The 18,003-nt window shown below is 49.8% G+C and overlaps 1 protein-coding gene across 3 annotated transcripts in view, besides 2 other annotated features; it reads right to left on the minus strand.

Moving 5' to 3' along the window:
- Positions 1–18,003, minus strand: part of RAB40B (RAB40B, member RAS oncogene family) — a 43,726-nt gene that overhangs the window by 21,473 nt on the left and 4,250 nt on the right. The window lies entirely within an intron of this gene.
- Positions 3,265–3,790: an enhancer, noted in NCBI's record as "H3K4me1 hESC enhancer chr17:80637586-80638111 (GRCh37/hg19 assembly coordinates)". NCBI's record gives its function as "activates a minimal SCP1, AML or CMV promoter by ChIP-STARR-seq in primed H9 embryonic stem cells {active_cell/tissue: H9 hESC(primed)}" and the evidence as "EXISTENCE:reporter gene assay evidence [ECO:0000049][PMID:30033119]".
- Positions 3,791–4,315: an enhancer, noted in NCBI's record as "H3K4me1 hESC enhancer chr17:80638112-80638636 (GRCh37/hg19 assembly coordinates)". NCBI's record gives its function as "activates a minimal SCP1, AML or CMV promoter by ChIP-STARR-seq in primed H9 embryonic stem cells {active_cell/tissue: H9 hESC(primed)}" and the evidence as "EXISTENCE:reporter gene assay evidence [ECO:0000049][PMID:30033119]".

The raw sequence follows: 18,003 nt of genomic DNA on the forward strand, positions 1-18,003 counted from the left end.
ACACAGGGCACCCCCGACCTTCAACAGCCTCTCCTCACCCACACACCAATTCCGTGGCGAGTCTCTCGGCTCTTCCCAGCCACCCCTACAAAGCACCATTCCCTTTGCATTCGGATGGGTCCTGTTTTGAGGCTTACCCCCGCCAGTTTGACATCTCTGCTTCAGTGGCCTACTAATTTTTCTTTTTCTTTTTCTTTTTTGAGATGGAGTCTCGCTGTGTCGCCCAGGCTGGAATGCAATGGCGTGATCTCAACTCACTGCAACCTCCGCCTCCTGGATTCAAGCGATTCTCCTGCCTCAGCCTCTCCAGCAGTTGGGATTACAGATGCCCGCCATCACACCTGGATAATTTTTTATTTTAGTACAGATGAGAGTTCACCATATTGGTCAGGCTGGTCTCGAACTCCTGACCTCAGGTGATCCACCTGTCTCAGCCTCCCAAAGTGCTGGGATTATAGGCGTGAGCTACCGCGCCCGGCCGGTAGCCTACTAATTTATTTATTTATTTATTTATTTTTTCTGAGACGGAGTCTCACTCTGTCGTCCAGGCTGGAGTGCAGTGGCACGATCTCGGCTCACCGCAAGCTCCACCTCCCGGGTTCAAGCAATTCTCCTGCCTCAGCCTCCCGAGTAGCTGGGATTACAGGCGCCCGCCACCACGCCCAGCTAATTTTTGTATTTTTAGTAGAGACGGGGTTTCACCATGTTGGTCAGGCTGGTCTCGAACCCCTGACCTCGTGATCCACCTGCCTCGGCCTCCCAAAGTGCTAGGATTACAGGCGTGAGCCACCGCTCCCGGCCAGCCTACTAATTTAAACAATTAATGTTCAAGCTATCTCTGAATTAATACCTGAACTAAAAGCTGAATTTCTTCCAAGTCCCAGGTTCTCAGCCCATCGTAAAAGCTCATTACAATGAGATTCCCCTCAGAAAGAGCTAAAACCAATCACTGGTTTCTCCCGTCCCAACAGGGCAGAAAGCATTACAAGCCGGGCTGCTTCCAGGAGGTGGCCCATCCTGCAGCGGCCAGCTCAACACACTCTGGCCCTTCCCTGATGTGTCCCCCTTGCCACAGGTCCGAGGCCCAGAGGCGGCCTGTGTTGTGGCTCTCCATCAGCCCTGACGCCGCGTCTCTGTCCCTGTGGACTCGGCCTTTCCCAGTGGGAACCCTGCCTTCCCGTGTCCACCTTCCAATCCTCGTCCACCACCCGTCTCCAGGGCCAGCACCCAAGCGTTTGGGGTTTCCAGGCACAGGTGGCCTGGCCCTACACAGAGCCCGCATCCTCTTTGCGCAGGACACTTGAAGTCTGCTGGAACCCCCGGATGTGGGGCCCTCTGACCCCAGATGAGGGCGTCAGTGATGCTGCGGTGCTGCACCTGCCCGACCCCTGCACCTGACCCGGGGCCTCTTCTCCATCCCTCAGCCACAGCCCAGAACGTCTGGACACTGGGCCCAGCGAGCAGCGACCAAACTCATTTCAAGTCTCTCTTTTTTTCTCTAAAATCAATGCTGTTCCAAAGATAAACCCTCTAACGCAGCCATGTCTGCCTAGAGAAATCCTCAAACCATATCCTTTCATAGCTATGTTCAAATTCAATTTGTGAGAAGACTCTTCTTTTCATAAGCCCATTGATGGAGCCATTTTGTTTCAGTCTTTGCAGTTTTTTTTGTTTTTGTTTTTGTTTTTTACCTTATCTCCCATCTGTGTGTTTGCTCTTTCGTTATTTACCGTTTCTCCTTCTCTGTGTTACCTTACGTTTTGGTCCACGAGAAACTAAGAAACATTTTTGACATCAGCAGTGTTAGCGTTAGGATAATACAATTCAAGCTCACTGCACTTAGCTGATTAACTTACCATGTACTCTGTCCATCAAAATATAATAAAGATATACAAAGCTTCTAGAACAAAGCCCGTCAGAATGTTCACTGAGTGAGTCAGAAAACAGGGACAAAAAGATAATTTTAACCTTCTAAAAAACAAGAACAAAAAAGGGAGAAGTCAAATGCCACACCATTCTCTACACTTGGAGCTGCATAATGAGTAAATATTTTAGGAATCTGTTTTAAGTCATCTACCACCTGCTTAATTCTATTTTAGTAAGTGGCATAACCGCCTTCACAAGCGAGGATCTGTTGATGGTGCAAATATTGATTCAATACAATGTACAGACGTATTCATCTCTCAGCCCAGCTTTTGAGAAATCTGTCTTATGTTGAGTTAAAACACCGGAAAGCCAAAAAGCAGACTGGCGGTCCCCGGGGCAGAGGGGAGGGGCAGGGCGAATGGCCACTGGACAGCACAGGGCTCCTGGAAGTGGCCGGTGCTGACGCTGCAGTGTGGTGGTGATTCAACGCCGCTTTACACCTGCACCGTAAAATGCTCACATCTGACTTTAAGTGTGTGGTTTTTGTGAAAGCAGCTCCCTTTCTGCGTTTTTTTTTTTTTTTTTTTTTGAGACGGAGTCTCGCTCTGTCGCCCAGGCTGGAGTGCAGTGGCGCCATCTCGGCTCACTGCAAGCTCCGCCTCCCAGGTTCACACCATTCTCCTGCCTCAGCCTCCCAGGTAGCTGGGACTACAGGCACCTGCCACCACGCCTGGCTAATTTTTTTGTATTTTTAGTAGAGACGGGGTTTCACCGTGTTAGCCAGGATAGTCTCGATCTCCTGACCTCGTGATCCACCTGCCTCGGCCTCCCAAAGTGCTGGGATGACAGGCGTGAACCACTGAGCAGCTCCCTTTCTGAACAGTCAGGAGCAGCTCGCGCCCACCAGCAACCACCTTCTCCGGTAGCCTGAAGGACACCACAAGCCTTATTATTATTATTATTATTATTTTATTTTATTTTATTTTTTGAGATGGAGTCTTGCTCTGTCGCCCAGGCTGGAGTGCAGTGGCGCAATCTCGGCTCACTGCAAGCTCCGCCTCCTGGGTTCACGCCATTCTCCTGCCTCAGCCTCCCGAGTAGCTGGGACTACAGGTGCCTGCCACCACGCCCAGCTAATTTTTTGTATTTTTAGTAGAGACAGGGTTTCACTGTGTTAGCCAGGATGGTCTCGATCTCCTGATCTTGTGATCCGCCTTGGCCTCCCAAAGTGCTGGGATCACAGGTGGGAGCCACTGCGCCCGGCCGCCACAAGCCTTATTTATTTAAATCACCTTTGTCTTAGGACACTAAACTCCCAAAAGGTGAGGCCTGGGACCAGCATCAGGCTGGACAAGTGCTGCAGAGGCCACGCCAACCCTGTGCGGCCACTGCTGCCCCGCCCAGTCACTAAGCACCTGCAGGTCACCGAGCACAGGGCAGGGGGCAGCCTCCACCAAGCACAGGGCAGGGGCCAGCTTCCACTGAGCTGTCACCACCACAGGACACCTGGAAACACGAAGGAACACGGCCCAGAAGCAGTGTCCTGGAGCGTGGCAGCTGCTGCCCGAGCAGGCTGCGGGGTGAACGCAGTCGTGGGAGGCTCACGAAGAGACATCGTCTTGGGGAAGGGGGATCAAGGCAGCCACAGTGGCTGTGGGAGGGACAGAGGGGCCAGATCCCAGAGCTCCCCTCACAACCCATCAGAGTGGTGGATTCCCTGAGGCTGGTTGTGGGGCTGGACATCTTGTGACCACAACTCCCAGGGCCTGAGAAGGGGGCAGCTGTCCTCGGGCTGGCCCGTCCTGCTCAGACCGGAGGCCTGGCAGGGTTCGAGGGCTCAACTCAGGCGGGCCCGGGCTCTCAGGGTGGGGTGACCTCTGTCACGGAGGTCTCATGCAGCCTTGGACCCCACACTGGGGCCTGGGTCTCTCCTAGGTTCCCATACACCCAGGGGAGTGGCCATAGGATCCAGTCCTGCCCTGGCCCTGGGTCGCAGGCAGGAGCCCCACCCACCTTGGCCACGACCTGCCAAAGAGGGGTGTGGGCTCTGGGCGGGGCCGCTCGGGGGACGGGACGGCAGTTCCCCCACGTGTGTGAGCTTCTCAACTCAAAGTCCTGGCTGGAGGCTGGAGGGTTCCAGGAGGCCACCCCACCAAGGCTGCCTGACACTCTTTGCTTCTGAAGTTAAAAAAAATATCGCATATGAAAAAGCTTATTTAAAATCAAGTCATTCATGCTTGGTACTAAATATTTACCACTACAATCTTATCACCCATGGACAACTACGATTAATATTTCAGTGTAGTTCATTTCACTGTTTATGTATATATATGATTTTCTTTCTACCTAGTAGTAATACCTATAATGATATATGTAATTTTAACATTTTTCATATGAAGTATTGATACAAATGTTTTAATTCTAAAATATAATTTCTGGGCCAGGCACGGTGGCTCACGCCTTTAATCCCAGCACTTTGGAAGGCTGAGGCAGTTGCATCACAAGGTCAGGGGTTTGAGACCAGCCTGGATAACATGGTGAAACCCCGTCTCTACTAAAAATACAAAAATTAGCTGGGCTTGGTGGCGTGCACCTGTAGTCCCAGCTACTCAGGAGGCTGAGGCAGGAGAATCATTTGAACCCGGGAGGCAGTGAGCTGAGATTGCGCCATTGCACTCCAGCCTGGGCAACAGAGCAAGACTCCATCTCAAAAAAAAAAAAAAAAAAAAAAAAAAAAAAGAAAGAGAAAAGAAAATGATGTTTGAGAGAAAATTAGCTAAAAATGAAGGCAAATATATCTGCTTCATATACATTGAACACAGTTGCCAAAACACTACATGTGGTAATATATTAACTCAAAAAACATGAGTTTTTGGTAGGTAAGTGGTAAATGAGCTCCCCCACCCCCAACTCCTTAGTGAAGATTTGGCTAAAAATCAATTTATATAACTCAAAGATTGCTGGCTCTCCTAGGGAACATAACTTACCTATGGTAGGAAATATTACATTTCTAGACAAAAAGGCAAACGAGAGTAATACCTCTGAACAGTTAGAAGCAGCCGTCTGGGAGAAGTCTCCTAATACAGGAAGCAGTAGTTAACCAGTGCAGTCAGACACTGGGTAGGGAAAAAAGCCCCTCTGCTTGGATGAGCACAGCCTCACTCAGCAACCCAGGCTCTGAGTGCGAAACAAGCAACCCTGCAGCAAAGCATCTCAAGGCTCTGTGTGGAGGCTTTGGAGCCACCAGAACTGGGCTCAGATGGGGGATTTCTCTAGCACTGTGATTCCAATCATTAAAATAACTTACTATACAATAAATTAAAAGTAAAAATATAAAGTAAAAGAGATAACTCCATCAATAAAAAATATACCAAATTCGGCAATCTATTATTGTAGGAATGCAAGGTTGGTTCGACCTTTGAAAATCTATCAATGCAATTTATCACATCAATAAATCAAAAAAGAAAAACCCACATGATCTCAGTGAGGCAGCATTTGACAAAATCCAATACCTTTTCACAACAAAAGCTCTCAGCAAACTAGGAATACAATTCCCTTAACCTGATAAAGTGCATCTTAAAAAAAAGAACCTCAAAGCTAACATTTTACTTAATGGTAAAAAACAGAACGCTTTCCCCATGAAAATGAGAAAATATTTTCCCCATGAAAATATCCACTCTTACCACTCCAATTCAATATCATTTTGGAAGTTATAACCAGGGCAATAAGGCAACAAAAAGAAAGAAAAGGCATGCAGATTAAAACCATCTCGATTACCAGATGACATTACTATACACACACACACGCATGCACACACACACACACACAGGCACGCATGCACACACACACATACACCTCTCCAAAAACCAATAAGAAAGCTATTAGAACTCATAAGTGAATTTAGTAAGATCAAAATATACAAGGCCAACATGGAAAAAAACAGTTGTATTTTTAAATACTAGCAGTAAACAATCAGAAATTGAAATTAAATAGCACTAGGTACAGTAGCCCCCAAACCATGAAATACTTGAGTATAAATCTAAAAAAAAGTGCAAGACTTATATATTAAAAGCTACAAACCACTAATAAAAGGAATCAAAGAAGACCTAAATAAATGGAGAGACATACCATGTTCATGATTGACAGAATCAGTATTGTTAAGATGACAAGTCTCCCCAATTGATCTATAGTTTTAGTCCCAATCAAAAATCCTAGCAGGACTTTTCTTGGTAGAAATCAACAAAGCCAACATTTAAAAGGAAAGTCAAAAGAGCAAAGTTGGAAGACTCAGACTCCTCAAACTCAAGACTTACTATATATTTAATCAACACAGTATGGTACTGGTATAAAAAATACTGAATAGAAAAATGGAACAGAATTGAGTCTAGAAATAGGCCCACACAAAAATGGCCAATTGATGTTTGACCAAAGTGCAAAGGCCATACAATAAAGAATAGTCTTTTCAACAAATGCTGCTGGAACAATTAGACATCCCTGTGCAAAAGTAACGAATCTCAATCTATACCTCACACTATATTAAAAAACGAACCCGGCCGGGCACGGTGACTCATGCCTGCAATCCCAGCACTTTGGGAGACCGAGGCAGGCAGATCATGAGGTCAGGAGATCGAGACCATCCTGGCTAACAAGGTAAAACCCTGTCTCTATTAAAAATACAAAAATTAGCCGGGCATGGTGGCACACGCCTGTAATCCCAGGTACTCGGGAGGCTGAGGCAGGAGAATTGCTTGAATCCGGGAGATGGAGCTTGCAGTGAGCCGAGATCATGCCACTGCATTCCAGCCTGGGCTACAGAGTGAGACTCCATCTCAAAAACAAACAAAGAAACAAACAAACAAAAAAACCCAAAATGGACCATAGTCATAAATGTAAAATCTAAAATTATAAAATTTCTAGAAGAAAATCTTTGTGACTTTGGGTTAGGCAAAGATTTCTTAGATATGACATTAAAAGGATGGTCTATAAAAGAAAAAAACTGATCAACTGGATTTCTTCAAAAGTAAAAACTCTTATTCTTTAAAAGATACTAAATGGAAAGAAAAGGCACAGATGGGGTGAAAATACTTGAAAACACATTTCTGGGTAAAGACTTACATCCAAAACGTATTTAAACATTCTCAAAATTCAATAAAAAGAAAATAAACAATTCAGGTTTTTCAAAATAAGCAAAAGAGGCCAGACATAGTGGCTCACAACTGTAATCCCACCACTTTGGGAGGCCGAGGTAGGATGATCTCTTGAGCCCAGGATCTCTTGAGGATCTCTCAAGGGCAGTCTGGACAATATAGTGAGACCCTCATCTCTACAAAACTTTTCTTTTTTTAATTAGCCAGGCCTGGTGGTGTGCACTTGGAGTCCAGCTACTGGGGAAACAGGTGGGAGGATCACTTGAGCCCAGTAGGTGGAGACTGCAGTGAGCTATGACTTGCACCACTGCACTCCAGCCTGGGCAACAGAGCAAGACCCTGTTTCCAAAAAAAAAAAAAAAAAAGAAAAGAAAAGAAAAGAAAAAGTGGGCAAAAGATCTGAAAAGACACTTCACCAAAGAGAATATGAGGATGGTAGATGAGCACAGGAAATGCAAATTAAAATTACAATAAGATACTGGCCGGGCGCAGCGGCTAACGCCTGTAATCCCAGCACTTTGGGAGGCCGAGGCGGGTGGATCACCTGAAGTCAGGAGTTCGAGACCAGCCTGGCCAACATGGTGAAACCCTGTCTCTACTAAAAATACAAAAATTAGCTGGGTGTGGTGGCAGGCACCTGTAATCCCAGCTACTCGGGAGGCTGAGGCAGGAGAATCGCTTGAACCCGGGAGGCAGGGGTTGCAGTGAGCCAAGATTGCGCTTTTGCACTCTAGCCTGGGTGAGAGAGTGAGACTCTGTCTCAAAAAAAAAAAAAAAAAATTACAATGAGATACCACTGCACACCCATGAGTGGCTAACATTTAAAAAAAACAAAACCAAAGAATGTTGACAACTGAAACACTCACACACTGCTGACGGGGATGCAAACGGTGTGGTCAGTGTGGAAAAGGGTTTGGCAGTTTCTTATAAAGTTAATCATTCATTTATCATATGACCTAGCAACTCCACCCCTGGATATTTACCCAAGTGAAATAAAAACAAGTTCGCACAAAAACGAGTCATAAACATGCACAGTGGCTTTTTTCATAGATCGCCAAAAGCTGGAAATCACCCAGACCCTCCTCAGAGGGTGGGTGGGTGATGGACTGTGGTTCATCTCTACTGTCCCACAATCAAAAGCAATGAGCTCTTGGTGCACCTGACAAGTCAGATGGCTTCAGAGGCTCAGGGCTGCTGAGTGACCGGAGCCAGGTTCAAAGGCCTCCGGGATGCAGGCACGTTGGAGGCTGAGGAGGTGGGGTTGGGGAGGGGCTGCCTACAAAGAGGCTGCGGAAACTTCTGCGTGGTGGAGGTGTTCTCCACCTTGACCGTGATGGCGGTCACACCACTGTCTTTGTCAAAACTCAAGACGGGGCCAGGCACGGTGGCCCACGCCTGTAATCCTAGAACTCTGGGAGGTCGAGGCGGGTGGATCACCTGAGGTCAGGAGTTCGAGACCAGCCTGGCCAATATGGCAAAACCCCATCTCTACTAAAAATAGAAAAATTACCCGGGCGTGGTGGCAGGCGCCTATAATCCCAGCTACTCAGGAGGCTGAGGCAGGAGAATCGCTTGAATCCAAAGGCAGGGGTTGCAGTGAGCCGAGATCATACCATTGCACTCCAGCCTGGGTGACAAGAGTGAAACTCTGTCTCAAAAAAGGAAAAAAAAAACAAAAAAACTCAAGAAGGGAGACATTTTACTGTAAGTAAACCATATCTCAATAAAAGCAGAGAGGAAGCGGGAGAGGAAAGGAATGGGGAGGGGGAGGGAGGACGGAGGAGGGAGGGGGAGGGGGAAGTGGGCCAGAAGGGAAAAGGAGGGTGGGGAGGGAGGAGGAGGAGAAACACCACAGAAAGAGACAGCACACGCAGTGGTCCTCAACTGTGGCCGTGCACTCAACTGAACGCAGATTCCTGGGGCCTCCTTGGAGTCACCAAGTCCTTCACCGCACACAGGGACGAAGCTTCAGTGCTCCAACCCCAAGCATGGACGACCGGCAGAATGAGCTGTGTAGCCCGTAGGGTCCCAAGGAGACAGCCCAGCAGTGAAACGCTCAGATGGGGCGGGCCCCAGGCACCCGGCCTGCCTCCAGGGCAGGTCCTAGGGGCCCCTCCAGGGCCCTAGCCAACAGGAACCAACAGGGCCAGGGGCTCCAGTGCTGAAGCTCCAAGAAGAGGGGACCCACAGGGTCCCTGGGTGCCCAGCTCTTCCTTCATGAGAACGAAACTGTCCTTTCGGGTTTCACCATCTATCTATACTGGGTTGAAGTGTCCCCCAAAGGCTCACATTCACCCAGAACTTCAGAATGTGACCTGATTCGGAAACAGGATCTCTTCTTCTTCTTCTTTTTTTTTTTTTTTGAGACGGAGTCTCGCCCTGTCACCCAGGCTGGAGTGCGATGGTGCGATCTCAGCTCACTGCAACCTCCACCTCCTGGATTCAAACGATTCTCCTACCTCAGCCTCCCAAGTAGCTGGGATTACAGGTGCCCGCCACCACACCCAGCTAATTTTTGTATTTTTAGTAGAGACGGGGTTTCACCATGTTGGCCAGGCTGGTCTCAAACTGCTGAACTCGTGATCTGCCCGCCTTGGCCTCCCAAAGTGCTGGGATTACAGGCGTGAGCCACCGCACCCAGCCTTCTTTTTTTTTTTTTTTTTTGAGACAAAGTCTCACTCTGTCATCCAGGCTGGAGGCTGGAGTGCAGTGGCACGATCTCAGCTCACTGAAACCTCCGCTTCCGGGGTTCAAGTGATTCTCCTGCCTCAGCCTCCTAAGCAGCTGAGATAACAGGCACCTGCCACCACGCCCAGCTAATTTTTGTATTTTTAGTAGAGATGGGATTTCCCCATGTTGGCCAGGCTGGTCTCGAACTCCTGACCTCAAGTGATCCACCTGCCTCGGCCTCCCAAAGTGATGGGATTATAGGCATGAGCCACCGCGCCCGGCCAAGGGTCTTTTCAGATGTAATCAAGTTAAGATGAGGTCATACTGAGTTAGGTGGGCCCTAAATCCAATGGCTAGTGTTCTTATAAGCACAGAGAGATTTGGGGACACAGACACCCAGGAGAGAAGGCTGTGTGACGACAGACAGCAGGGACTGGAACGGTGCTGCCACAGGCCACAGAACGCCGAGGGCTGCCAGCAGCACCCCAGAAGTCAGGGGAGTCAGGAAGGGTCCCCGCTTAGAGCCTGCCAAGGGAGCGTGGCCCAGGCAACACCTTCATTCTGGGCTTCTGGTCTCTAGAACTGTGAGAGAATAAATCTCTGTTTCAATTTGTCCAAAAGCCCCTTCACTCAGCAGCTCTTTTCCATTAGTCACAGCAGCCCATCCAAAAGCCACTTCACTCAGCAGCTCTGGAGCCCCCCACCTTCCTCCACGTTCCTCCCGTCCAGTGCTGGGGGGAAGGATGCTCAGAGCTCAGGGGCATGGAAGACCCTCCCATCCAGTGCTGGGGCGAAGGGTGCTCAGAGGTCAAGGGCATGGAAGACCCTCCCGTCCAGTGCTGGGGGGAAGGAGGCTCAGAGCTCAGGGGTATCAAAGACCCTCCTGTCCAGTGCTGGGGGGAAGGGTGCTCAGAGGTCAAGGGCATGGAAGACTCTTGTCTGTGGGCCCCCCCACACCCCCGATGATGCCCAGATCTGATGACGCTGGCCTCTATGTCTCTCCAAAGTCAAACCAACACGACGCAATTTGAACCCGTGAGTGTACCACAGTGTTCTCTCCTCAAACATACGTGGCCTCCTGAGCTGGAAGAAACAGACTTTATTTCCAGATGAATTTTATTAATCTAAGAGAAAATTTCATACTCTTCATACTTATCTATTTACTCTTTCCTATTAAGATAATAACTTCTGGCCTTATGTATTAGGGTCACTAAAGTTTAATATGTATATTTATGCCTCTGTAAACTTGTTTTTGCTTTTATTTTTAGTCAAACAAAATGCCAGTCCTATCACGAGTCACAAATATAAATAACACACCAGTTGATTCAAATTCAGGAGCAAACTTTGCTGAGTCACATTAGGGGGAGGGTAATTAATTAATTATTAGCTGCAAGAAGTTGAGATACGTAACCCACATAAAGTAAAAACAGCCTGAGGCTCATTCCTAGCTGAGAAAACCCCAAGATCTGTTACAATGGCCTCGTTGTTCTCCACTGACAGCTTTCTGGGGCTCTCTCTCCAGGACATGGCCGCCAGCTTCTGTGAGAGGTGCTGGCATCCTCGGAGAGACTGAGAAGTCAAGCACAGGGTTCCTGGAAAACCAGCCCTCCTGACTGGCTGCCGATCATGCAGGGCAGGTGCCTTCAAGACTTTACGCCCCCAGCCAGGCGCGGTGGCTCATGTCTGCAATCTCAACACTTTGGGAAGCTGAGGCAGGAGGATCGCTTGAGCCCAGAAATTCAAGACAAGCCTGGGCGGCATAGCAAGACCCTCTCTCTACTAAAAATAAAATAATTAGCCGGGCATGGTGGCATGCACCTATAGTCCCAGCCAACTGGGGGGCTGAGGTGAGAGGACTGTTTGAGCCCAGGAGGTCAAAGCTCCATTAAGCTGTGATCGCACCACTGCACTCCAGCCTGGGCAATAAGCCAGACCCGGTTTCAAAAAAGACTTTACATCCCTGAAAGTTTTCATTTCATGGTGCTGAGCGTCCATCAGTCCATCCTTCTCTCTGCCAGCCGGGGCCCAAAACACACTAAGTCACCATCACGCCCAGCTAATTTTTAAACTTTCTGTAGAGACGAGGTTTCCCTATATTTCCTAGGCTGGTCTGAACTCCTGAGCTCAAGCGATCCCAAAGTGCTGGGATTACAGGTGTGAGCCACCATGCCTGGCCCTCATGACCACTTTTAAAAATTGTTTTGGGCCGGGCACGGTAGCTCACGCCTGTAATCCCAGCACTTTGGGAGTCCGAGGCGGGTAGATCACGAGGTCAGGAGTTCGAGACCAGCCTGACCAACATGGTGAAACCCCATCTCTATTAAAAATACCAAAAAATTAGCCAGGCGTGGAGGCAGGCGCCTGTAATCCCAGCTACTCAGGAGGCTTGAGGCAGGAGAAGTGCTTGAAGCCGGGAGGCGGAGGGTGCAGTGAGCTAAGAACACGCCACAGCACTCCAGCTGGGTGACAAAGCGAGACTCCGTCTCAAAAATACATAAATAAATAAACAAATAGTTTTGTTTGGGCCGGGCGTGGTGGCTCACGCCTGTAATCCCAGCACTTTGGGAGGCTGAGGCAGGTGGATCACCTGAGGTCAGGAGTTCGAGACCAGCCTGGCCAACATAGTGAAACCCCGTCTTTACTAAAAATACAAAAATTAGCCGGGCATGGTGGTGCATGCCTGTAATCCCAGCTACTCAGGACACTGAGGCAGGAAAATTGCTTGAACCCAGGAAGCAGAGGTTGCAGTGAGCCAAGATCGCACCACTGCACTCCAGCCTGAGCAACAGAGTAAGACTCTGTCTCAAAAAAAATTTAAAAATTGTTTTGTTTGATAAAGTCTAGATCTCTAATATTTTTATGCCCAAGCCCTTTGGATGCTGTTGTTCTTTTCAGGTTTTGTGTATATAGAGCTAATTAAGCTGAAGAATCCTGGGAATAAAGTTTAAAATAAAGGTTAAAAACATCTCTGAATGTGAACAGTACCCACAGCCAGCACATACCAGCTGATTCCACTGTTGCCTCTGACGCCCCTTGCCACTGTCTTCACTCCAAATGCACCCAGCGCGGAGCAGCCTGCACTCCTGGGGCAGGAGGAGCAGTGAGCAGGTGCGGCTGGCAGGATGAGGCAGGACTGCGGGTCTGCCTGCTCCAGCTGCGTCCACTCTGCACCACGGTGGTGCCTGGTGCCAGGCTGGTGGACAGGCTGGTGACAGGGGACTCAGGGGCGATGGGTGGGCCTCCAGCCCCCAGAGCTGACCCTCTCTCTGCCTGGAGAAACCTGGCTGGCTTGCTTTGAGCCTCTCCCAGCCTGTCACTGGAAATCAGGTTCACCTGGGGCTGGGGTTACAGAAGTAACAGGTCAAGCTAAAGGATGGTCATCAGGGCGGGGAGAGGACCCTGCAGGACACAGGCGAGGTGGGGCCGAATTGAGGGCTTCTAATGGCAAAACTTGATACAATGCAATGGTGTTATTTTCAAATGCATAGAGACATTTAATGTATTTTAAAAATTAATTTTCTCACAAGTGGTACCGCAGGAGGTAAAGAAGTAGAAAACTGGCCGGGCACGTGGCTCACACCTGTAATCCCAGCACTTTCGGAGGCCAAGGCGGGTGGATCACGAGGTCAGGAGTTCAAGATCAGCCTGGCCAAGATGGTGAAACCCCGTCTCCACTAAAACTACAAAAAATTAGCTGGACGTGATGGTGGGCACCTGTAATCCGAGCTACTCAGGAGGCTGAGGCAGAGAATTGCTTGGACCCAGGAGGCGGAGGTTGCAGTGAACCGAGATCGTGCCACTGCACTCCAGCCTGGGTGACAGAGCAAAACTTCATCTCAAAAAAAAAAAAAAAGAAGTAGAAAACCATCATCTCCTCCTTAAGGACTGCACTATAAAGAAGCAGGATAAAATATGATTTGACTTTCAGTTCAAACTTGAAAGTGATGACTTTATAAATCGTGTTTTATATCTCGAGGTGGTTGCCAAGGGAAACCAGAAGAGTAGCTGTATTAATCAGCAAATCCACCTCTGTCTGAAGAATCAGAGGGAGCATGGAGTGTGCATGTGTGTCCAGGGGAAGATCTGCAGAATTGGAGGGAGCACGGAGTGTGCACACGTGTTCTCGGGGAGCAGAGAGTGTGTTTGTGTGTCCAGGGGAAGATCTGCAGAATTGGAGGGAGACGGAGTGTGCATGTGTGTTCCTGGGAGCAGAGAGTGTGTACGTGTGTCCAGGGGGAGATCTGCAGAATTGGAAGGAGCATGGAGTGTGCACATGTGTTCTCAGGGAGCAGAGAGTGTGCACGTGTGTCCAGGAGAAGATCTGCAGAATTGGAGGGAGCATGGAGTGTGCACGTGTGTTGCCGGGGAGCAGAGAGTGTGCACGTGTGTCCAGGAGAAGATCTGCAGAATTGGAGGGAGCATGGAGTGTGCACGTGTGTTGCCGGGGAGCAGAGAGTGTGCACGTGTGTCCAGGGGAAGATCTGCAGAATTGGAGGGAGCATGGAGTGTGCACATGTGTTCCCGGGGAGCAGAGAGTGTGCACGTGTGTGCAGGGGAAGATCTGCAGAATTGGAGGGAGATGGAGTGTGCATGTGTGTTCCTGGGGAACAGAGAGTGTGCACGTGTGTCCAGGGGAAGATCTGCAGAATTGGAGGGAGATGAAGTGTGCATGTGTGTTCCTGGGGAACAGAGAGTGTGCACGTGTGTCCAGGGGAAGATCTGCAGAATTGGAGAGAGACGGAGTGTGCACGTTTGCCCCGGGGGAGCATGGAGTGGGCACGCATGTCCCAGGGGAACATCTGTCCAAGGCAAAGAGGAAGGAGCAAACCCCAGCAACTGTGTCACTTTCCATAACGGAGGCTCTGATGCTCGTCTCCGGGAAGAAAAGCTCCCTCAGTGGAGCCTTCTCCCAACATTAAACATTGGAAACAGAGGGGAGGGCCAGGCCCTGCACCTGCACCCCGGTGTGTCCACGCACCGTGTAGTCTTGAGGGAGTGGCTCAGCCTCTCTGGGCCTCACAATATAACCTCTCTCAAGATGATTCCCCCTCTCAGTAAGTGAGGGTTATTATTATTAGCTCTTAGCAAAAATGAAACAAAGAAAGAACAATGGGACTTTTATGCTGGGAAAAGGACACTGAAGAAACAGCCAGGAGAAAGGATTGGAGAAGACAATGAGGCCCTCATGCTGGGGAAAAGGGTGGGAGGCAAGAGGTGGTGGCATCTGGTGTAGTTAATCCACCCCCCTCCCTGTCACCAATAAACATGTGCAAAAGGCCGGGCGCGGTGGCTCACGCCTGTAATCCCAGCTACTCGGGAGGCCCAGGCAGGCGGATTGCCTGAGGTCAGGAGTTCGAGACCAGCCTGACCAACATGGTGAAACCCCCATCTCTACTAAAAATACAAAAATTAGCCGGGCATGGTACACCTGTAATCCCAGCTACTCGGGGGGCTGAGGCAGGAGAATCACTTGAACCCAGGAGGCAGAGGTTGCAGTGAGCCGATGTGGCACCATTGCACTCCAGCCTGGGCGACAGAGCGAGACTCCATCTCAAAAAACAACAACAAAAAAATGGGCAAAAGGCAGAAAACTCAGCACTCAGAGAAGGGACACAATCTGGTGTTGGAAGCACCAGCTGGGGTGGCGGAAAGGCAGGGCCCTGCTGTGCCCCGACCATATCCTGGGCCAGCCTGGTGACGCCTTCCTTCTACCCCTGCCTGGAGAGAAATGGAACTTCCGAGGGGAAAGAGCGTGAACCGGGGACCCAGCTGCCAGACGGAAATGGGGTCCAGGCCACCAGGAACCAGGGGTACCAGCGTGTGTGAGGTGTGTTGCAGAACAGAAGACACTTCCCTGGGTAACCAGCAGAGCAGTGGGGCCCGCACGGTCCGTGGGCTGAGGTGACAGGCAGAGCAGTGGGGCCCGCACGGTCCGTGGGCTGAGGTGACAGGCAGAGCAGTGGGGCCCGCACGGTCCGTGGGCTGAGGTGACAGGCAGAGCAGTGGGGCCCGCACGGTCCGTGGGCTGAGGTGACAGGCAGAGCAGTGGGGCCCGCACGGTCCGTGGGCTGAGGTGACAGGCAGAGCAGTGGGGCCCGCACGGTCCGTGGGCTGAGGTGACAGGCAGAGCAGTGGGGTCCACATAGTCTGTGGAGTCAAGTTGCCGACAGGGTCCAAGATCCAAGAACTCTGCCCTGCAACTACAGACCGAGAGGAAGACAAACGCCCAGGAGGGAGAATCCAGGCCTCGCTGACCGTATCGGAGCAAAGGGAACACCTGGGCACAGCTGCCTGAGCAAGGACAAGATGCATCTGACTGCCCTGGCCAGCACAGGGCATGCCCATCCACAGAAGACAGAGTCTGACCCGGGGCACACACACAAGAGACAGGCGGGCCAACGGTGCAGACCCAGACCCACAGGCGGGCTCTCAGCTGGGACAACGGTGGCCGTGCGATGCGGGGTGGGGGTGGGGGGCATCCGACTGAAAAAAGTGTGTCTCGATCCCTGCCTCAGGCCTCACCCCAGCTGGAGGCAGCCATTCATGTCAAAGGTAAAACGATGCTTGTAGAGAACATTTTTTTTTTAAATCTGGGAGCAGCAAAGGTTTGTTCAACAGGACCCAAAGTCCTAACCACAAAACACTGATAATTTGGATTATGTTAAAATTAAGAGCTTCTGTTCATCCAAAAATACCACTGAAGGAGTGGAAAGGTGACGTGCAGATGAGAGTGGCTATCCAGGATCACACAGCCGACAAAGGACTCACAGCCAGAATCTATATTTTAAACACTCCTAGCAAGCATTGAAAGAAATTCAACCTAAATGAAAAAACAGACATAAGACTTGGGCATTTTTCTTCTTTCTGTTTCTATTTTTTTTCTTTTTTTTTGGAGACAGAGTCCCACTCTGTTGCCCAGGCTGGTGTGCAGTGGTGCGATCTCAGCTCACTGCAACCTCCGCCTCCCGGGTTCAAGTGCTTCTCCTGCCTCAGTCTCCCGAGTAGCTGGGAATACAGGTGCCCGCCACCACACCTGGCTAATTTTTTTTTGTATTTTTAGTAGAGATGGGGTTTCACCAAGTTAGCCAGGCTGGTCTCGAACTCTTGACCTCTGGTGATCCATCCGCCTCGGCCTCTGAAAGTGCTGGGATTGCAGACGTGAGCCACCAGGCCCGGCCGACTTGGGCATTTTTCCAAAGAGGAATTTCGCATAGACGTATGAAAAGGTGCTCAGTCATCAGAGAAATGCAAAGGCAAACTACACACCACAGAAGGACAGAGACAGCCCCGTGCTGAGAGGGAAGATGATGCAGCCGGGGCCTCCAGCTTTGCTGGTGGGAGCACCAAGTGAAAAATGCTTTGCGAGAATCTACTACAGGGAAACCTGTGCAGACATTTGCGTGCCTGATACCCAGCGATTCACACGCATAGGGACCTTTCAACAGAAATGCAAAGGATGTGTACTAGGAATGTTCATGGCAGAACAAACCATAATAGTCAGAAACCTGAAACCACCCAAATGCCCGTCACCCGCAGGATGGAGAATAAATCACGGTAGAGTCACAAAAGGGATGTCACCACCATGAGAATTAACACCCCACAGCCTCACACAACATGGGAGAGTCTCTTTCACATAACGGGGGCCAGAGACACAGTCACAGAAGTGCACATTGGCCAGGCGCAGTGGCTCACGCCTGTAATTCCAGCACTTTGGGAGGCCGAGGCGGGCAGATCACCTTAGGCCCGGAGTTCCAGACCATCCTGGCTAACAAAGTGAAACCCCGTCTCTACTAAAAATACAAAAATTAGCCAGGCGTGGTGGCGCACACCTGTAGTCCCAGCTACTCAGGAGGCTGAGACAGGAAAATCGCTTGAACCTGGGAGGCAGAGGTTGCAGTGAGCTGAGATCGTGCCACTGCACTCCAGCCTGGGCAACAGAGCGAGACTCCATCTCAAAAAAAAAAAAAAAAAAAAGGAAAACTCCAAAACTAAGAGAAAATTAGGAGACAAAAATAACATCTTTACTGAACTAATCAATAAGTTAGAAACAGCTAGAACAGTTTACTGAAATCAAAATTACCAACAAATAGGAAAGGCATAAGATAATCAGAAAAATTCAGGCCGCGCACTGTGGCTCACACCTGTAATCCCAGCACTTTGGGAGGCTGAGCTAAGCAGATCACCTGAGGTTAGGGGTTCGAGACCACCCTGGCCAACATGGAAACCCCGTCTCTACTAAAAATACAAAAACAAATTGGCCCAGTGTGGTGGCAGGCACCTGTAATCCCAGCTACCTGGGAGGTTGAAGCAGGCGAATCAC

This window comes from Homo sapiens, chromosome 17 (genome assembly GCF_000001405.40).
Source record: "Homo sapiens chromosome 17, GRCh38.p14 Primary Assembly".
Classification (NCBI taxonomy): domain Eukaryota; kingdom Metazoa; phylum Chordata; class Mammalia; order Primates; family Hominidae; genus Homo; species Homo sapiens.